This window comes from Homo sapiens, chromosome 14, assembly GCF_000001405.40.
Source record: "Homo sapiens chromosome 14, GRCh38.p14 Primary Assembly".
Classification (NCBI taxonomy): Eukaryota; Metazoa; Chordata; class Mammalia; order Primates; family Hominidae; genus Homo; species Homo sapiens.
Genome location: NC_000014.9, coordinates 96,783,286 through 96,804,822, shown reverse-complemented (window position 1 = coordinate 96,804,822; position 21,537 = coordinate 96,783,286). Strand labels below are relative to the sequence as shown.

At 43.1% G+C, this 21,537-nt stretch overlaps 1 protein-coding gene and 1 long non-coding RNA gene across 6 annotated transcripts in view, besides 4 other annotated features; both read right to left on the bottom strand.

Annotated features, from left to right (window-relative positions):
* Positions 1–7,441, bottom strand: part of VRK1 (VRK serine/threonine kinase 1) — an 84,228-nt gene extending 76,787 nt beyond the window's left edge. For all 5 annotated transcript variants that reach the window (NM_001411051.1, NM_003384.3, XM_047431755.1 and 2 more), the window contains exon 1: positions 7,376–7,441. The gene's annotated coding sequence lies outside the window, so the exon portion shown is untranslated. The remainder of the gene's footprint in view (positions 1–7,375) is intronic.
* Positions 6,584–7,115: an enhancer, noted in NCBI's record as "H3K27ac hESC enhancer chr14:97264045-97264576 (GRCh37/hg19 assembly coordinates)". NCBI's record gives its function as "activates a minimal SCP1, AML or CMV promoter by ChIP-STARR-seq in primed H9 embryonic stem cells {active_cell/tissue: H9 hESC(primed)}" and the evidence as "EXISTENCE:reporter gene assay evidence [ECO:0000049][PMID:30033119]".
* Positions 6,584–7,349: a biological region, named in NCBI's record as "H3K27ac hESC enhancer GRCh37_chr14:97264045-97264576".
* Positions 7,060–7,349: a silencer, noted in NCBI's record as "silent region_6059". NCBI's record gives its function as "represses an Ori minimal core promoter by ATAC-STARR-seq in GM12878 lymphoblastoid cells {active_cell/tissue: GM12878}" and the evidence as "EXISTENCE:reporter gene assay evidence [ECO:0000049][PMID:35858748]".
* Positions 7,360–7,559: a silencer, noted in NCBI's record as "silent region_6058". NCBI's record gives its function as "represses an Ori minimal core promoter by ATAC-STARR-seq in GM12878 lymphoblastoid cells {active_cell/tissue: GM12878}" and the evidence as "EXISTENCE:reporter gene assay evidence [ECO:0000049][PMID:35858748]".
* The window catches only part of LINC02299 (long intergenic non-protein coding RNA 2299), a 49,423-nt gene continuing 42,095 nt past the window's right edge, over positions 14,210–21,537 (bottom strand). The window contains exon 4 of the long non-coding RNA NR_146552.1: positions 14,210–14,451. This is a non-coding gene — a long non-coding RNA (long intergenic non-protein coding RNA 2299). The remainder of the gene's footprint in view (positions 14,452–21,537) is intronic.

Here is a 21,537-nt window from a genome sequence, read left to right as displayed (position 1 = left end):
TAACATTCTGAAGTAACACCACTTTTTTAGCTTTCTGGCAGATATTTGTAAAACAAAGTTGTAAGTCAAGGGTCATGATTATATCCTGTTCTTCCTACCAACGTATCACTGCCACAAATGGTCCTAAAACAACTTCTCTTTAATACCATTTCTATCATACCATTTTCCTGATTAAGAATATACAGCACCTTCCTAATAGCCAATGAAACTGATTACAAATGCTTCAATCTAGCCAGAAGTTTATATACTCTTTCTTTTTCACGAACCAATGATCCTTCCTTTACTTCTCTACTTCCCTTCACTTGCATGACTCCCAAAAATAGCCAGTTCTTACTTATTTTCTCTAGAACAGATCTTTGCCCATGTTATTCTCTAAAATGTTTTCCCACTTTTTCCAGACTCCAGCCATGTTATACCTTCAATAAACCTGTATTTATTAATAGTTAATTGCTCATTCATTTCTTCCTGTCTTTGTTTTGATACCTAATTTACAGTATATGGCCAACTGATTTTTGATTTTTAAAACTTATTGAATGGAGAAAGGGTAGACTTTTCAACAAATGGTTTTGGAACAACTGGACATCCATGGACAAAAGGAAAAGAAAAATGTACCAAGATCTAAAGCTCACATCCTGTGCAAAAATGAAACCAAAAAGGATCACGGATCTAAATGTAAGACATATAAGGGTAAAACAGAAGAAAAAATGAGAACAACCTCCTGACCTAGAGTTAGGCAGAGAGTTCTAAGATAGGCACTAAAAACACGATCCATATATTGAGAAGTTGGACTTTAACAAAATTTGAAACTTTTTTGCTGCTAAAGACACTGTTAAGAGAATGAAAAGACAAGCCAGAGACTGAGAGAATATATTTACAAATCATATATTTGGCAAAGGATTTTGTATACACAACATATAAAGAATGCTCTAAAATCAGTAAGAAAACAAACCAATCACAAAACGGGTAAAAGACTTGAACAGACAAATCACCAAAAAAAATATGAATGGCAAATAAGCACATGAAATCATCAGCCATTAGGATGCAAATTAAAGCCATGACAAGATACCAGTACGCACAAAAAATATCACCAATACCAAATGGTAGTGAGGTTGTGGAGAAACTGTATCTCTCAAACACAGCAGCACCCCCTTCATCTGTGAGGGATACATTCCAAAGCCCTCAGTGGATACCTTAAATGGTGGAGAGTATGGAGAGTATCGAACCCTACATAAATACGTTTTTTCCTATACATACATTAGATAGACATACTTATGATGAAGCTTAATTTATAAATTGGAGCCAGTTAAGAGATTAACAACAATACTAAGAGTAATTATAACAATATGTCAGCGGCCAGATGCGGTGGCTCACTCCCTGCAGTCCCAGCACTTTGGGAGGCAGAGGCAGGCGGATCACCTGAAGTCAGGAGTTCGAGACCAGCCTGGCCAAAATGGTGAAACCCTGTCTCTACTTAAAATGCAAAAATTTGCGGTGCGTGGCAGCAGGCGCCTGTGACCCAGCTACTAGGGAGGCTGAGGCAAGAGAATCGCTTGACCCTGGGAGGCGGAGGTTGCAGTGAGCTGAGATCACACCATTGCACTCCAGCCTGGGGGACAAGATAAGAGACCTGCCTCAAAAAAAAAAAAAAAAAAAATGCCAGCATCACTAGTCTTGCACTTGGGGTCACTACTAAGTACAATAAGGGATTCTCAAACACAAGCACCAAGACACCAGACAGTCAATCTGATAACCAAGAGTGACTAACTAGCTGGTGGGTAGTGTATACAGTGTGGATATGCTGGACAAAGGGATGATTTACACCCCACCTGGGACAGAATAAGAGGGCTCAAGGTTTTATCACTATATGACCCAGCAGTTGAATTTCTAGATATTTATTCTAGAACAATTAAAACTTACAGTCACAAAAGAACCTGTACATTAATGTTCATAGCAGCTTTACCTGCAATCACCAAAAACCAGAAACAACCCACATGGCCTTCCATGGGTAAATGGTTAAATGTGATACAGCCATAAAATGGACAAGCACTGTGCAATTATCAAAAGCAGGAAAGTGACACTAATACAATATTCATCACTGAACTACTTATTGAAATGTCAGCTTTTACATTCTTTTGTGTGTCTAATTCTAGGACATTGTGTCATGTGTACAGATTCATGTAACCATCACCATAAACAAGACACTGAACTGTTCTATCATCTCAAAGAAAGTCAGCCCTAACCCCAGCAAAACCGGTCTGTTCTGCATTTCTATAATTTTGTCATTTTGAGAATCCTATATAAATGGAATCATACAATCTCTGAGACTGGCTTTTTTCACTCAATACAATGCCCTTAAACTCCAACCAAGTTGCTGCATGAACCAACAGTTTGTTTCTTTTTTTGATGGTGGTGTTCTACCGCAAGACTATCACATTTTATTTAACCATTCACCCACTGAAGGACATGTGAGTTGTTTCTGGTTTTTAGCTATTATAAACAAGGCTTCTACGAGCATTCATGTACAGGTTTTTTTGTGAACGTTTTTATTTCTCTAGGATAAAGGCTCAGGAGTGCAATCGCTGGATTGTGTGTCAAATGTACGTTTAACTTTTCGAGAAATTGCCAAACTAATTTCCAGAGTGGTTATATCATTTTACATTCCTACCAGCAACATATGAAAGATAAATTTTAGAGTCAGCATTTCTAAAGTATTTTCTGCAAGTCTGAAAAAACAAGATTAAACTTCTTAAATGTTATAACCTGAACTTATTTTTAAAAAATGAATTTTAAAACTTTTTTCCTGATTCCCAAATAACAGATTACCTCTAAGAAAAAAATGCATACAGCTGACCCTTGAACAACATGAGTGTGAACTGTGCAGGTCCACTTATACACAGATTTTCTTCTGCCTCTGCCACTCCAAGACAGCAAGACCAACCTCTCCTCTTGTTCCTCCTCCTGAGCCTACTCAACACCAAGACAATGAGGATGAAGACCTTTAAGATGGCCCACTTCCGCTTCATGAACAATAAATATATTTGCTCTTTCTTAGGGTTTTCTTAATAATATTTTCTTTTCTCTAGCTTATTGTATTGTAAGAATATAGCATATAGTACATATACAAATATGTGTTAATTGTTTATGCTATTGGTAGGGCTTCTGGTCAACAGGCTATGAGTGGTTAAGCTTTTGAGGAGTCAAAGCTTATACATGGATTTTCAACTGCATGGGGGTCAGCACTCCCAACCCCTGAGTTGTTCAAGGGTACACTGTAATTACATATAATCTCTATGTTGATAGCTGTTGCCAAATTACATAGTAAACTGCAATAAGATGTGAAAAAAGCAACTCTAAAGACTACAGTAGAAACATTAACAGTTTCTCTCCCTGTGTCTTCCAGACACATTCTATAAATACTTAAGGTCTAATAGTTCTTTCTAACACTTAATATTGTGAAACGCAATCACAATGCACTAATACTTAGTGTCATCAAATGATGACTTTTCTTTAGCTGTCACTTGATAAAAACAATCTAAGAAAAGCAATTAACCTGAAATAAAGCTGTGGTTATCTTAGCTATGTCTAACTTCATGGTTTGTTTAATTTTAGATATAAATGACAATTAGATAATGCAATCTCTTTTGGATTCTTAAAGCAAGTATCTAAGTCTAGAGCAGACATATCTGCCGACATACAAACAGCCAGACAGACGGTCCTCAAAAAGAAAATAAAATAAATACACAGAAAGAAATTATAAGGTCCCTGGAACAGTGGAATGAGGCTGCTCGTGTTCCTAATGACTTTCAGTTCTCATGTTTAGTCCCCTGCAGGACCAACTATATTGTTCCTGATACTGAGCTCCACAAGACACGTGTCCTTCCATTATCAGTATGATATTTGCTTTAAAAGTATATGACAGACCATTCCCAAATCTCAAATTTAATTTGCTTGTGCTTGCAATTTAATTATTTACTTCATCTAGTATATCTTCCCATTTAATGAATTACTTACCAATAAACATTTTAGTATACACGTTTAATATTCATCTTAAATATTTGCCAGTGTGAACAGTATCTACCTTAATTTTCAAATCCTAGAGTACTGGTTCCCATCCTATGGGCAAGAAACCCATAGAGAGATAGGAGTAACTGCAAAGAATCATCAAAATCCATATACTTACCTAAAGACTAAATAAATGTGATTCACAAACATATATGTTTCCAAGCTGACAAAGATACTGTGGCTAATAAAAATCTTAATAAATTTCCTGAAGAATGTTGGTAAAAGTAGAGCAGTTTCTTCTCATCAGTATTTATTGATGAATACTAAAAATCTAACTCCTAATATGGGAGAAGGGCCATCGCTCGTACCTCTCTAGATTTTCTAGAGAGCTTTTCTTTTTTAAAGTGTTGCCCATATGTCACTCAGAACAGGAGGAGTAGGATGTGCTTGAATTTGAGTGCAAAGATTTAAGACAACATTGGGAGAGATGGAGCAGGAGTAATTGGGAAAGTGCATGAAATTACTTCAAAACAGCAACTTCAGAATGCTGGGTGCTTAAATATCATTCAAGCACCAAAGGGAAAAAATTCAAAGGACAGAGCCCTCTGCATCTTTATAATGGCAAGTAGAAATATATTCACAGGAATTTTGATCAAAAGAGCCAAACTTATCCTAGAGTAAAAATACATCTTGGTTACAACACCTACCTAAATGTTTTATTAGGGTTCTATCACCCTTTTAAATTAATCTTGTACCTTTATTAAACATTTTCTACATTTTAACATTAATAGTGCAGTTTTTCAAAGGCGCCCTACACATTTATTGGATTATTCTGTGCTGGATGCTAGATAAAGTTAAAAAAAAAAAAAAAAAGACGTACACTAATTTAAAACAAAGAAAACTTGCTTCAGCAAAACACTACAATAGCAATAGACTTTGCACCTAGCACAATTCCTTGTAAATAGGGGGCACGTGATCTCTGCTGAATAAATGAGTCCATTTCTCCTTACTCCGAAAAATAACCCTGGCAAGCATGTAAAATATCCTACCAGTCTGAAAAATATTCTCCAGTCCTATTCAGCTACCAATCCATTCTCAGAACCCATCAAGAGCAATTTTCATGAAAGCCTCACTCACACGCACAAAGAGGCAGCATTTAATTCCCATTAGGCTCACTGCCTGATCTACGGAGATATAAGCATTTGCACATTTGCATAAATTCAGGAGACATCCTTCATTTGATATAAGGTAAATCTTAAAGCTTCGCTTCATTTCCAAATAAGTTTTATTTTTCAAATCAAAAATATTTTTAAAGTTTTATTTTTCAAATCATAATCCTAATCATAGTACATTATATCTTATTAGGGATGCTTTTAAGAAAAAAAAATATAGCTGTCAAAATTAAAATCTTGTTTTTTCATTTCTAGACATCTGGGACATTTCACTTATATATTTATTATTATTTCACATTAGTTCTCAAAGTTAAAAAAAAAAGCTGGCCTATTTCCTTTAAGAAATTTAATTTTAGGGTCTGTCAACATTTTGAATGCATTACTGTTATTTTTAAAATACACACTTGCATACTGGAATAAAACTTAGCATAAGCTTTCCATATAACCATTTCCTGGGCACTTACTAACTTACTATATGCCAGGCTCTATGCTTAACACATTACTCCATTATCTCATTTGTTTAACAAATATCCTCTCATAATTTTTGCAGCACTGAACATAACAAGAAGACATTGCACTATAAAACTGGTATTTGTACTGGATACCAGAACTAAATTGACAGTAACGCCTAACACAAGTTTATTGTTATTAAATTCAAGTTGTGTTACTGTATTAACACAGAATCTGATCAGCAATGTTGAGATGTAGAGAATACCATCTGTGGTAGCATCAACAGAGAAAGCTATTATTAAGTGACTACTTAAGTTACATTCCCTTCTATAGGTAACAGATGAACATAATCTTATCTACCCAGAAATTTAATTCCAATCACTACATGCCATTTTGAAGAACATAAACGTAACCTACATAAAATGACTATATAAAGAACCCTTGCTTCCTTCTGAAAATGCTTCAAAATTCTAGATTAAATTCTCCCCCAAAGTATCATGCTCAGCATGTCATAAAGAAAGGTGCCTTTATTGTCAACTCTTGAAAATAAATGCTGCCCTACTTTTTTTTACTCTTGAATTTCAGTCTCAACAGATGGGCAATTCCAGTTTAAAAAAAAAGAAGAAGAAAAGAAAAACACACACACAATAATTAATGAAGTTCTTCAACAGTTCCCTAAAACCAACATCCTCCCAATAGCAAATTGTATTTCCAAGTTGTTCCAAGAAAGGGACACAGGAAAGGGAAGGGAAGAGTCTATACAAAGGAAAACAAAAATGAGTGACTTGAAAGAAAGGACATCAGAAAAATGGGTGGCCTCAACAGGAACCTATAGTGTCTGACTCTGCTGCTGTCTGTCGAATTTAATTCTACCACCTAAGAGTTTTGAGACGAGAACCACAATACTATTTCGGTGGTAGGAAAAACTATGCGTTGCCCCTGAATGGAGCTGCAACAGTAAAGGATGCCACCCTGCCAGGTAAGGACAGAATGAGGAGGAACTGTCAAACGGTTATGAAAGTCCCTTGCAAAACACACAAGCGGCTCTAACTGCCTTGCACCAGACAGACCCTCAAGTACAGGATCACGGGGCCTCCCCGCGATGTGACAGGGAAATAACGGGCGGCCTCGCGGTCCCCAGGCCTGGCTGCTATCCTCAGGGGTCGGCCTCCCCTCTCAGGTCTCAAGTCAAAGGTCACATCCTCTGAGATGCCCTCCCGGATCACCTAACCTAAAGAGCCTCGCCCCCATTCCTCTAGCCCGCAACTGCCTGTCCCGTTTCTAAGAAAGCATTTCCGTATCCGCAAAACATCGCAGCTGCGTGTGTTGTTTCCCTTCTACAGAGTGAGCTCTGCGGGGCAGGGGCCTCGCCTGCGCTGTTCACCCGGAGCCCCGCCTGACAGAACCGGCTTCCCGGTGAGGCCCGAGGCGGCGTTTGCGAGCTCGGCCGCGACACCACGCGCGTCCAGAACGTGGAGCTCAGATGGGGGCCGGCCTGGCCAGTCCAGGCATCCCCGGGGGCGCCTGCGGGGCCTGAACGAGACAAGGAAGGAGCGGACGCCCGCGCAGGCGGAAGCCACGCGGCGGAGCGCGGTCCCGCGGGGCGACCGAGGCTGACGGCGACTCCCGCACCCCGGTGGACCCACAGGCCGCCCGGAAGGCCCAGTGCCGGCCCCAGCCCCGGCCGCCCGCCTCCGCGCCCCCGGCTCGGCGCGCGAGTCCTCGAGCCGTGTCGCCTGCGGCCTCCCTACCCTAAGCCGCAGACCCGTCGCGTTCTGCCCAGTACGAACTTCCCGCCGCTTTCGCCGACTCGTAACTCGGCAGCGGCGCCGGCCCCTTCGCACCCTGCAGTATGGAGCCTTCCCATTGGCTCGGAGGCGACGAGGAGGGGCGGGACGAGTGGTAACGCGAGGCGCGGGGCGGAGGCTACGCTAGCCCCGCGCCTCCCCGGGAATGCCGGGAGCTGTGGTCCAGCGCTCCCAAGGCATCCTGGGAGTTGGAGTCTCTTAGCGGCAAAGGGAGATCCCCGTCCTTCTGCTCCCTGGTCTTCTAGGAAATGTGGTTTACAGCCTTGTTCGTAGTAGCTTGATTTATTAAGTGTATTGGCAGAGAGTTGGGTGTAAAATAAGTTTCCTGTTTCTGTTAGGATTAAATGAAATAATCTATAGGCAGTACTTTAAACTTAGTTGGTGCTCAATAAATAGCAGATAGTGTTAGTATTATTCTGCCCACTCATTGATATGTGTCTAAATCCTACCTGTTTTTCGAAGCCTATTTCAAAGCATATCTCAATGTCTACCTAATCATCTATAGTGTTTCATCTGTAATCAACGTATGCCACAGTTTGCATTGTGTTTATTATTTATTTTTATTTATTTATTTTTTTGAGACGGAGTCTCACTCTGTCGCCCAGGCTGGAGTACAGTGGCACAGTCTCGGCTCACTGCAAGCTCCGTCTCCCGGGTTCACGCCATTCTCCTGCCTCAGCCTCCCGAGTAGCTGGGACTACAGGCGCTCGCCATCACGCCCAGCTAATTTTTTTCTGTTTTTAGTAGAGACGGGGTTTCACCGTGTTAGCCAGGATGGTCTCGATCTCCTGACCTTGTGATCCGCCCGCCTTGGCCTCGCCAAGTGCTGGGATTACAGGCGTGAGCCACCGCGCCCGGCCGCATTGTGTTTATTATAATCAGCTAAGTCTCCATCACCCATGAGGCTGAGAGCTTATTGGGCACTGGGTCATTGTTCTAGGTCAAAATCACTGAAGTCACAGGCAGAGGGAGATTAACAATGAAGCCAATGAAGCGTAAGCTTCAGGACCTCACTTGCGCAGGTCCCTCAATGAGTTTACATAGCTTTGGGGGTTTATTTGTCGATTTTACTTTTCTTTTTCTTTTTTTTAAAGATATAGTCTCACTTTGTCACCCAGGCTGCAATGCATTGGCGCGATCTCGGTTCACTGCAGCCACGACCTCCTGGGCTCAAGCAATCCTCCCACCTCAACCCTCCGAGTAGCTGGGATTACACGCACAGGCCACCACTTCTGGCTAATTTTTGTATTTTTTGTAGAGACAGGGTTTGACCATGTTGCCCAGGCTGGTCTTGAACTCCTGAGCTCAAACAATCCACCCCGCCTCAGCCTCCCAAAGTGCTAGAATTACAGGCATGAGCCACCACACCCAGCTGATTTTTCTTAAAGTAGATCCCCCAAAATTATGTGAGCTTCAGTCCCTACAAAACCTGGAATCACTCTGTCCATTAGACAGGGCAATATTGTGCCTGATGTCTTACATTTTCCCCTCCAGATACCCTCATCTGCTCCAAATACTTCTCCTGCCTGCCCTCTGCCCCAGGAGGCTGACCTCTACAAATTACTTCGCGCTCCCTGTGCCCCCTGGCTTTGGGGCGTGCCCAGTGGAGAACCCCACAGAAGATTGGAGGAAAAAGAAAGGTTGGTTAGAGTAGGTTAAGCCCCTGGATCCTGACTGGCAAGGTCACCTCCAGTTGGCAGGTCCCTCAGCTGAAGGTCACTGCTCCCTGGCCCTCCCTCCAGTTTGCGGTAGTAGCCCTTCCCTTTGTGCCTCAGGTCTGGAAGTGATGACATCACGGCTGCTGCTGACCCACAAGTTACTGCATCCTCCCTCGTGGTTCCTACCCCCAACACCGTTGTAAATAGTCTCATTGCAAATAACCTTCCTCAAATTACCCTATTTGGAATTATGTCATCTGCTTCCTGTTGAGACCCTAACAGAGCATGGGCAAGGTGAGCACTCGATAAAATCTGTCAGCAAAAAAGTCTCAAGATTCACACATCTCATGGGTGTGGAATCCCCCAGCAAGACTCTGTGGCCAGAATCCACTGAGAGAAAGACACACACACCCACACCCACACCCACACAAATACACACATATGTTAAGAAAACTTGGAACAGGACTTATCTGTCATAGTGTGACCATGTTCCCCTAACCTCACAATAGACACGTGAAGAAACATCCCTGTTTCCACACTGGGTTGACAATTGACTGACTTTAAAGCACAATTAAATCAGCAACAGTGTAAGGTAAGAATGGAATGTATTTATTCTGGAGCTCTTGGCCCTGGCACCCTTGATCTGATGGCTCACTGTTAAACACTCCTTACGTGCAGCCCTGTTCCAAGGCAGTTGCCGGCACCTACAACATCATCCACACATGCTGAGATGTCTTCCCAGTGCAGAGCATGGCAGGTCACCAGTCCAAGCTGCTGTCACAGAGACAACATGTCTGAAATGCTATAGATGGGGATACAACTCTCAAAGCTAGCAGACCCTTGGCACGTTTTTATGAGTTGATAGCTTGGTGTCAAGATCAGGGTCATACATAAGATTGACCAGCGAGGACTTGCTGTTGGTGGGCTTTAGAAATTAAGAATTGATGGCTCACGCCTGTAATCCCAGCACTTTGGGAGGCCGAGGCTGGCGGATCACGAGGTTAGGAGTTTGAGACCAGCTTGGCCAACATGGTGAAACCCTGTCTCTACTAAAGATACAAAAAATTAGCTGGGTGTGGTGGCAGGCACCTGTAATCCCAGCTACTCAGGAGGCTGAGGTGGGAGAGTCGCTCGAACCCGGCAGGCGGAGGTTGCAGTGAGCCGAGATCGCGCCACTGCACTCCAGCCTGGCGACAGAGTGAGACTCCGTCTCAAACAAAAAAAAAAAAAGAAGAAGAAGAAGAAGAAGAAGAAGAAATTAAGAATTGTACTAGGCAGGAAAGGTTCATAAAAGTAATCCTGCCATATATTCAAAATATCTATACGGTCCAAACAAATGTTTACAGAGCACTTACTGTGAGCCAGGGATTGAGCCAAATTCCAGGGACCCTGGTTTAATGCTTAAGGAGGCCCTACTATTTGTCAGGCACTGTGATTTTTCACACATATTGTTTCCCCAATTCTTAGAGGGGAAAAAAATCTCAAAGAATTTGGACAATGATTCTTGGTCCCCTGAATCTACTTCCAAATGTTCTTTTTACTGCCCCTTTATGCCCAGCCTCAATACATGAGGACTGTCCTTACAAAGAAATAATTTTAGCACAGTGGTGGAGACTTGTACAGAATGCTATCATAGCCTAGTACTGAGATTCCTGGTTAAGGGGTCATCATAGATGAAGCAGGGTGACCTAGTGAATAAAAATCTTCTAGCTTCCCAGTAAAGGCAAACCAACTAAAAATTTATACATGGGATCTGTATTGATTTGCTGCATAGTGAGACCCCAGAGTTCCTTTTTTTTTTTCATCTCTGGGAGCCCTAACACAAAGGTATAGAAAAATAAAAATAATCCAGGCACTTTGGGAAAGTGTGAGGAGGTTGGTGTTGGCTCCACCGTGGCAGAAACCCAATCTATAAACTTCAAACAAACGCCATAGTCATTAGGAAGCAACATCGTCCTGGCGGGCTGCCCAGGAGGCACTGATTCAACCCGTGAGTCAGTTTATGCATCCTTGTCCTTGTTGTTTTCATCTGTAGAATGGGAGCAATCATTCTGGGCCAACCGGCTCTCTGCCACCCCAGGCTGATGGGAGGCAGATGAGGTAATGTTTGAGAAGGGCTTTGATCTATCCAGAACAAAGTCACTAGGGTGTCCTTACTCAGTGTAAGTGGCCTAAGAAAAGCCCAAGACAATATTACTTCCTGGGAGAAAGGAAAGGAGAGAGGAGTGAGGGGCAGAATGTGATCAGGGTCTTCTGAGTACCCTGACCCTGGTTTGTACTCCCCCACCTGCTCTTGATGCTTTATCTCATCCCAAGTGCCCAGAACCCTTATTTCCCTTTTAGCAAGGACTTTTGAGGATCTACCATGTGTCAGGCAGAGTGTCTGATATGGATTGGCTGCATCCCCACCCAAATCTCATCTTGAATTATAGTTCCCATAATCCCCACGTGTTATGGGTAGGAGTGAGTTCTCCTGAGATCTGATGGTTTTATAAGGGGCTTTCCCCCACCTCACTCATACTTCTCCTTGATGCCGCTCTGTGAAGGACGTGTTTGCTTCCCCTTCTGCCATGACTGTAAGTTTCCTGAGGCCTCCGCAGCCATTCTGAACTGTGAGTCAATTAAACCTCCTTCCTTTATCAATTACCCAGTCTCAGGTATGACTTTATTAGCAGCATGAGCGCAGACTAATACAGTCCTTAACACGTTTACAATACAGTGGGAAAACCAGACACGTCCACTAATTCTAGTAACTATGATCTTTATGAGAACCTATTACATGCTGGGAAAACCATCTCATGTAACCTTGTGAGGTGGGTGATACGACCCCAGTGTCCAGATGAAGAGACAAAGCCCCAGTGAAATGAACTGATTTGCTCAAGGTCACGCTGCTAGCTGCCTCACTTCGAATCCATCCCGATATCAATCACAGCTGTTGACACAGGAAAGGGTAATGAGGCGAGGGCTAACTGGAGGCACACAGACTCCACACAGTAAGAATGCAGGAAGAAGAGTAAATCGTTCTACCAAGCCTCACAGAGAAGCCTGAGAAGGTAGAGAAGGCAGCGTGAACCCAGTTACTCTGCTGAACTAATATGGTTCCTCCCACAATGGTAGAGATAGGTTCTTTTAGATATTATGACACAGTAATAGATTATTGTAATTATTCTGAGGTCAGAAGTGGATGAAACAAGTTTTAAAAGCCTAGAAAATGTTTCCTTCTTCTTTTCTTCCTCCTGATAATGACATCAGTGGTGGTGATGATGGTAACGATGATGATGATGACACTGACGATGGCAGCTTCCATTTATTGAGTTTGAAGCATTTGCCAAGAACCGCACCAATACTTTATAAACACCATTTCCAGAAATCTTCACAATATTTTAGGAGGTTGGTAACTTTACCCCCAGTATAGAGATAAGGATATTGGAGCTCAGATAAGGTAAGTCACTTGCTGAAGGTCACACAGCTAGTAAATGATGCAGTTGGGCCTTAAGCCAAAGTTTCGACTGACTCAGAAGACCAAATGCTTAACCACTCTACCGTGCGGTTCACCAAACACTCACCATTTCATATGCTTATATCTTCTGAGCTGGTTTTCAAAATGCCACGGCTATTTTATCTTCCTGAAATCCTGAGGGATTAATAACAGAGGGAAATTTAATGTGTGGGCCTCCCACAATGACTGAATTGTTTCCCAGTGCCCTGGTGAAATTCTCTGAGCTGAGGATGTTGTAAGCTGCCTGCAGGTGGGTTGCTTTCTGCCTTCCTGTTGGGAGGTGTGCTCGATATGATCTGTCAACACTCAGCATCCATTTCTACTGCCTTCTTCTGTACCTTCCTACTGCACAGGCTGCAAAACTAAAAATTGCGCTTCCCAGAAACCCTAGTACTTAGGGCTCTGGATGCAAAAAGTTCCACCAGTTAAAGTCCTCAAAGAAGATTTGGAGGGCAGGGTGAGGTGGCAACATGGTCATGGTGTTGTCTTGGGATTTTTCCACAGCCGTGTTCCACTGCCTTGTCCCTAATGTCATGACTGTCAGAAGACACTCATCTGTTGGGTTGGTAACAGTATCAGCTTCCTGATATAGTTGTGAGTTTATGTAGTAAAGATATGGAACTTGCCCAAAGAGAGGTCTGGCCTTCATTCTCCGCAATTGGAAGCCCTTGGAATATCATCCTCGATAGAAGTGTCTTTGTTTGCCTGGGGGCCTTGGGTCACCAGATAGTCTAAATATAATGTAGGGTGGGGGCTGGTCATATCAGATGGTCTTAGGATGCTGGTTGCTCATGCCAGAAACACCAGCAATGCAATTTAGGGTGAGTGCTTTGGGTCACACTGTATCAGTGTGGTCCATAGGGACCAGAGACTGAGATCAGCCATATGGACAACCATACCTTTGTGACAAGAGTCCTAGTAAAAACTCTGGACACCAAGGCTTGGATGTGCCCCCTGGTCCACAGCACTCCATGTGTATTTTCACAAAGTGATACTGGGAAGAAACACCATCCTAACTCCATGAAAAGAAGACCACGCAACTGTGAATTTGGAACCCTCTCTAGCCTCTGCTTCTTCTCTTGGCTGATTTTAACGTGTAACCTTTCCCTGTAATAAGCCATACCCATGAGTATTACAGCTTTTAATGAGTTCTAGGAATCTTTCTAGCAAATTATCCAAATTGAAAAAGGTTTAGGGAGCCCCTCAGATTTTGCAATTAATTTCAGAAGTGAGGGAAGTCTTACAGGCTATGTTCTCTCCAACTGTACAGTTGGCTAACACTCTTGCAGAGTTCTCAAACTCTCTAGCCCCAGTGGCAGCCTCCTCATTCTTCCCCTTTAGATTGTTGCAGAGCTGGTGGCTCCCCTGACAAGGCAGTTCTGCAATGCTTGAGCTAGTGCTTTTTAATCCCTATACTAAATCCCTTTGTGCTTTAAACACCTAGCAGGTTAACAGGTTAACAGGACACAGTTAACTGTATCCCGTGTTAAATATTGACTAATACAGAAGAGAAAAGAGATACCAATAAATGCGATCTATCATCAATTATAAGATGCATGCTTTTCCTACTTGAATACCTCTGAAATCTGGATGTATCTTTCAATCAATGCCAATTATAATTGGCAGTGTTTTTTTCTTTATTAATAATACATAAAATAATGGGGCATCTAACACTTGACGGAGTCTTAGATTTGCTGAAATTCTAGGATATCTGGTGTTTGCTTCATCAGAAAGTCTCTCTAGATCATTTCTCCTCTTCATTTTACTTCTCACATTGCACACTGGATCCGATGCCCCCAAACCCAAGGGTGTGGACTTCCTCCTTTCTTTCACTTTACGCTCTTTGAAAGTGAAGACAAATACTGTTAGAGAAAGAGAGAAGCAATGTGTTAATGCAATAGGACATGGGTTTTGTGATTGAGAGAGGCCTGAATCTGAAACCTTCCTCTACCACTTAATTGCTGTGTGACCTTGTATAAATTATTAATCTTGCTGAGTCTCCTTCTCATCTATAAATGACAGTGGCTGTTGGGATTAAATGAGATAGCCTCTATACAATTCTTGGCCCTAGTAGGCACTCAGTAAAGGCTTTCCCTACTCCTTCTGCTCATCCTTCTCTTATTGCTCTCCTTCTGAACATCATGAGATCTGCCTCTCACATCACTCCACGTCCCAGAGCCAAGCTGCAAGCAGCTGTTATCATTTATTGTCCGTGGCTAGACATAGACTCAAGTCAAATATACATACATGTTCATATCTAGTCGCCAGCTTGCAAACTGGGAAAGGAAGGAGAGTTGTGTCAAAAACAAAAGCAAATCGTTGCTTTTATTTTTGCAACCATCCAACTCTTGTTGTGTTTTGATTTCAGGGCTGCTCCAAGATTCTGGGACAAAAGGCACTATATATAAGCATTATTATGAGACTCAAAGGGGGCTCTGAGCAAAACAAAATCCTTTTATTACAGAGAATTGGAAAGACTTGTTGCCAAATATAGTTACTGCACGGAAAATGCGTTTTTCCTTTTTTCCCCACGTCATCACCATTGCCACCACCGTGCTGTAGCTAAACCCACACCCTATCAATTAATCTATCTACAAATATTTTAAATAATAATGACTAACATCTTTTGGCAGTTACATGTGCCAAGCATGGTCCCAAGTACTTTACATCTTGTATCTCATTCGGTCTTCCCAGCAGCTCTTCCCAGAGGTAGGTATCATTATTAGCACATTTGACAGGTGAGGAAATTAAGCCTTGGAGAACTTAGGCAACTTGCTTAAAGTTGCCTAAGCAAATAGCTAAAAAGAGGCAAAGTCAGGATTTGAATGCAGCTGTATGATATCAATGATTACGTACTTCCTTTATGTCAAAGGGAATACGGGATTGCACAGCAAAGATGGGTATATGTCCCTGATCCTCAGAAATCTGTAATCCGATTATCAAGATAAATGTCAAGTGACTGGCACACTAGTAGCTGTCCCAGCAGTTGAGGTGTCACAGAAATCTTAGTGAGCCAGGGTTTTCGAGAAGACAGAGTTCAGAGGCTATACTCTGTTTATATGAATTACCGTGTCCCCTCCCTGCTCCCTGACCAATTTCTCTGGCCTCGTGGTTGGTTTCCTCCTAGTTCAGGCAACAAGGGATTTCCAGCCCCATGCCTCAAAGAATGCCACAAGAAAGGGAACAAAGATGATGGCAATTCTTGGCTTCCAAATTTTAAAATACAATCTTGAAACTCATGGTAGAAGCAATGTATTTCAGAGAAGATTTTCAGAGTTTCGGAAATGTATGCTTTGGAGTATCAAATGTCAAGGCCTTGGAGGAAAGGCCAGAGCATAGAAGAAGTTTCAGAAGACCTTTTTCCAGTGTAACAGTGGATATGTTTCCTAGAATGAGGAACAGAGAGAAGAAGGAAGGGAGAAAGAGTGTCATTGCCAAGGTGTCTTTGAGAAGGACCCTCTCTGTAGCTTGCCCCAAGACCAAATCCCAGACAGTGGAGGAGACAGAATCTCACATGGGATGCATTTGTTGGGTCTCAGAGCATCAGGTCTCACCTGTATCCTGGACTCTCTCCCTCAGGCACTGGTTCTGTGGTGTTACAGGCTAAACTCCATCCCCTCTCATTCCTGTGCTGCAGTCCTAACCCCTAAAACGTCAGAATGTGACTGCATTTGGAGACAGGGCCTATAAAGACGTGATCACTTAAAAATGAGGTCATTGGGGTGGGCCTTCATCCAATCTCACTGGTGTCCTTATACAAACAGGAAATTTAGACCCAGAGACATGCAGAGGGAAGACTCTGAAGACACAAGGAGAAGACGGCCATCTACACGCTGTGAGAGGCCTCAGGAGAAACCAACTCTACTAACACCTTGATCTTGGACTGTGAGAACAGAAGTAAACTGTGAGAAAATAAGCTTCTCTTGTTCAAGTCACTCACTGTCTGGTATTTTGTTATGACTGCCCTAGTGGACTAACACTTGACCTTAGAGCTGCAGAGCTGCACGGCTCTGATCTGGGCCAATCCCCACACCTCAGAGCCTGGCTCCCCCTGCCACTCCTGAGGTCTGGGCTGTGGCTCCGGGCTCAGTGCTCCATCTCTATCTTGCACCAGCATCTTGCAGCCACCTATGTGTGAGCCCCATCAGGAGTCCTTTCTTCTTCTGTCACTCAGATTAGAGGGAAACTTCTAAGAGGCCAAAGCATGAATTGAGAGAGAGAGAGAGAGAGAGAGATGTTGATGCAACTACTTTTAAATGTTAAATAGATTGATAGAACTCCTAGGAACATAGCAGAATGGCACAGGAATGAAACGATGTCCAACATTGAATTCCTAAAAAGAAAAAAATATTAAATAATAAATAAAGAAAAAAATTCCACATTGAATTCCTAATAAGAAAATAATAATAATAATAAAGGAATTGTGTTGCACTCCTATTATGGGAGGCCTGCGGACAATGCTGAGTTGTTTAACCTCCACTATCAACTCTGAAAGACAGGTATGATTACCACAACCTAACAGATGAGAAATAGGATCTTTAGCTGTAATTATGGCTAGTTAGTGACAGTGGGGTTTTATAGCCGACGCTATCTGACTCCAAAGCCATGATAACTCTATACTGCCTATTAAATTAGATAAGTGGGCATTTTCCTCTCTCTCTTTTTCTGCACAAATGTCTCTAGCTAATACTTCAAGAGAGAGAATAAACAATCAGCAAGTTCATAAATTATACTCCCTTCAAGCAAACAAGCCAATTGTTGTTTGTCCCTCACAGGTGTGGCTTGATTGCTGACCATTAGTGGCCATTAATAAAAGAAACCAGGCTACCACACACAAGTATGTTTCAATTTCCCAGGACTTGCATTTCACACCAGGGAGCTGAGCTCAGCCAATGTTTTCATAAGCTAACACCTGCAAAAGAGACAGAAAGCATGATCTAACTGAAGTACCCTTTATCTTTGGGAATTAAAATATAAACCAAAGGATAATTTGTGAACTTGATCATTCTTTCCCCTCACTGTCATTGGTCTCAGCTTAACACAGAGATAAGCCTCAGGTGTTTTGCAAATCTGTTAGACAGCTTTAAGAGGAGTCAGGACATATTGTAGGGCCTTTGGACAACTCCGTTGGTTTAACCTGATGTTTATTCATTTACCATTCAACAAATAAAGACTGAGCACCTAGTGTGTCCCAAGCACTGCAATAGGCTCTCAGGATAGGAATGAACAAGAAAAGATTGCTGTCCTCAAGTGTCCACACTCTAAGGGGGCAGATGGACACAAACTTATGGTGATAGGACAAGGGGGCGATGGCATTATGAGGTGGAATTTCTGCTCCCACCGGCCAGTTTTCATGAGGAAAGTTCGATTCCACACCCCAGGGGATGTACTCTTGGAAAGAAATTGTAGCCTCTCTCCCACTCACTCCTCCTGAGTAAAGAGAAGTGACTTGCCAGATCAGTAAGACGGAGAAAGCATCCAACGTGAGGCTGAGTTCCCCTGACCCACCCACTCTCTCACTGTCTCTCTTTATCTGCTTGCCTGCCCCTGCATCCAAGGTGTAAGAAAGCTTGGGTTAGGCCCAAGACCTGCCTTCCTAACTAGATCGGGAAGGACAAATCTCTCTCTGGAGGCTCATAGGTGTGGGGCAGGGACTCCTTGCATTTGGCTGTGAATGGCTGGCCTCAGCAGAGTTGCCCCAAAATTTAGATCTGGAGCCAAAGTCTAATGAAGCTCAATTGGCCACAGGTCAACCCATATTCTCCAATCAAGCTTTACCTATAATAAGGCTAGCATTTTGATATCATCTGTGTGGTTCTATGCCTATACTTCCATTTATTTCCAAACTCAGTGGGAAAGAAAGAATGTTATTCAATCACCAGTAGTTATGACAGTGGTGAGAGGGAGGAAATGAATGAGCAAAGAGGAGAAATAGCCAACCTAGTGCAGGGAAGGGGCTGGTGGGTAAGGCTGGACCCTTGAGTGAGGTTCTCAAAAAGGAGTAGATATGACTCAAGCAAATAGGGATGGGAAGGGCATTCTTGGCAGGGAGAAGGGCATATGCAAAGGCATGGAAGTATGAAAGAAGCTCAGTGCATTTGAGAAATTGCTACCCTCATCTCTTGACTCTCCAGGGATGGCACCTGCTTAGCTCCGGCCTCTCTCTTTGGATGGATCTCTGTCTTCACTTCCTCATCTCCAGCCATACGTTAACCGTCTCTAACGCAGCATCTACCTCCTTCACACCACCAAAAGCATCCTTGATAAGGCCACCCATGACCACGTGGTACTAATTACAATTACCATTGTTCAGTTTTTATCTCACCAGGGCTCTTTCAACATTCACCACAATTGACCATTCTCTTCTTCTTCAAGTACTTTTTTCTCTTGGCTTCTATAACACTGCTTTGTCCTGATTTCTGTTTTTCTCTACGAAAACTCCTTATGCTAACATTTCTTCTTTGGCTCCAATTTCTAAGTGTTCAAGGCCCTTTTCTCTATCTTTATGTTAGAATTTTTTGAAGAGATGGAATCTTGTTCTATTGCCCAGGCTGGTCTCGAACTCCTAGGCTCAAGTGATCCTCCTGCCTCTGCCTCCCAAATAACTGAGATGACAGGTGTCAGCCACCGCGCCCAGCTTATGTTTGGATCTTTATGTTCAAATCTACGTGGATATCAGGGGGTGGAGATGAAAACTTAGGAATTATTAACATCTAGTTGCCTGCTGGAGATGGGAGTGGATCATTCATGAGGACGGATGAGCTACCCTAAGAAGTGAGTGCAGATTTAAAAAAAATCCTGCTAGGCGCGGTGGCTCACGCCTGTAATCCCAGCACTTTGGGAGGCCGAGGTGGGTGGATCACGAGGTCAGGAGGTTGAGACCATCCTGGCTAAGACGGTGAAACCCCAACTCTACTAAAAACACAAAAAATTAGCCGAGCGTGGTGGCAGGCACCTGTAGTCCCAGCTACTCAGGAGGCTGAGGCAGGAGAATGGCGTGAACCCGGGAGGCGGAACTTGCAGTGAGCTGAGATCGCGCCACTGCACTCCAGCCTGGGCGACAGAGAGTGAGACTCCGTCTCCAAAAAAAAAAAAAAAAAAAAAAAAAAAAAAAAAATCAGAGTCAGTGGTAATGGTGAAGTAGCTTCCATCATACTAACCTCCCACAGGACAGCAGCCAAAAGCAGGCAGAAACCAAAGGGGATTTGACCCTTGAAAGAAGGAGCCACACTGGGGGAGCGCCTTGGTTATTTGACTTTTCTACTGAGGACACTTCCCACTCTGCATGCCACAGGGTGGCTAGAACTCAAGAAGAAAACCAGCTGGGTGCGGTGGCTCACGCCTGTAATCCCAGCACTTTGGGAGGCTGAGGAGGGCGGATCATGAGGTCAGGAATTCGAGACCAGCCTGGCCAACAGGGTGAAACCCCGTCTCTACTAAAGACACAAAAAATTAGCCGAGCATGGTGGTGCGAGCCTGTAATCCCAGCTACTCGGGAGGCCAAGCAAGAGAATAGCTTGAACCAGGAGGCAGAGGTTGCAGTGAGCTGAGATTGCGCCATTGCACTCCAGCCTGGGCGATAGGGTGAGGCTCCATCTCAAAAAAAAAAAAAAAAAAAAAAAAAAAAAGAGGAAAACCACAGTTTTATTACCCTGAGGAGTCAGAGGATGGGGTTCTGAACTGCTAGAGCAATTGGAAACTGAGGGAAGGCAGACATCCCACAATGGCGGTAGCCAAGAGGGGCAGCCCTAAAACCCCCATATATACACCCCAAAATCACAGGCTGATTAGTGAATTGCACATGCATGAACAAGATTTCAAGGAGCCCAAGGGGGAAACAATAATTGGAAGGCTAAAAGAACAGTGCACAGATTTCAGCAACTGCCCACTGTTGGGGGAGACCAAGTTTGGGGTTTGAGTCCTGCCAAGTTAGAGGAGCTTAATAAACATTTCAGGCTGTCCATTGAAACCCTGCAAAAAGACCATGACTGAAGGTGAAAGGCTATGTCCAAGTTCTAAGGAACTAAGAAACAGAGATGCAATGATGTCAAGTAGTTGTTTTAGGCACATAGTTAATGAGTTTAGGGCTGGGATTCAAACCCACCTGGTCGGGCCTGTCGAAGTTGTCAGAATCAAAATGAAGTCATGGATATTAAGGAAATCCTAACAAAGACAGCTGGGGAAGGCCATAAAGAGAAGTTCCTCTTGCTTGTATGTCTTTGACTAAAAGCTATCACGAAAGACTGCAAAAACCACAATCTTGCGCAAAGGCCATTGCAGAAAAAATCCTTCTGCAAGGACATCTTCCCAGCAATTGCCTGTCTAACCTCAGATTGGCATCACCCTTGTTATTGATCTTTGTAGCCAAGGATAATTATTTCCAAACAGTTGTGTAATCCTCCTCATTTTTCTTCTTTAAAAACCTTTGTCTTCCTTTACCTTCCTGAGTATGCACGTAGTTTACCAGAGCATGCATTTCCCCATTCCAATGCTCTGTTCCCAAATAAAGTGCTTTTCTTTTAGCAAGCCTCCCTCTGGTCGTGATTTGGGATGACAGACCCTATAGCCCATGTCCTTGCCACTGCCCTCCACTGCCTCTGTCTCTGTGCCCTGCGTTTTTCCTTTAAAGCACCCATCACCAAATTCAATATCCAAATACAATTGCATATTTGGTGGTTTGTCTTCTGCACTAGGCGAAGATTCCTGGGCAGAGAGCTCACCTAGCCCCTGGCACACCCACGAAATATTTGTTGAATGAATAAATGAATCATTTGGTATGGCTGATTTACCAATGCCTGAGCGTGTATAATGTATTAATATCTCTCCTGGTAGCAAAAATATATCATTGAAAACGCATCCATGCCATATGATTTCACCCCCTTGTGATCCTGGAGTGAATTAAATCACCAATAATCACTCTCGTTTACAGCTGGGTTTATTTGTACATA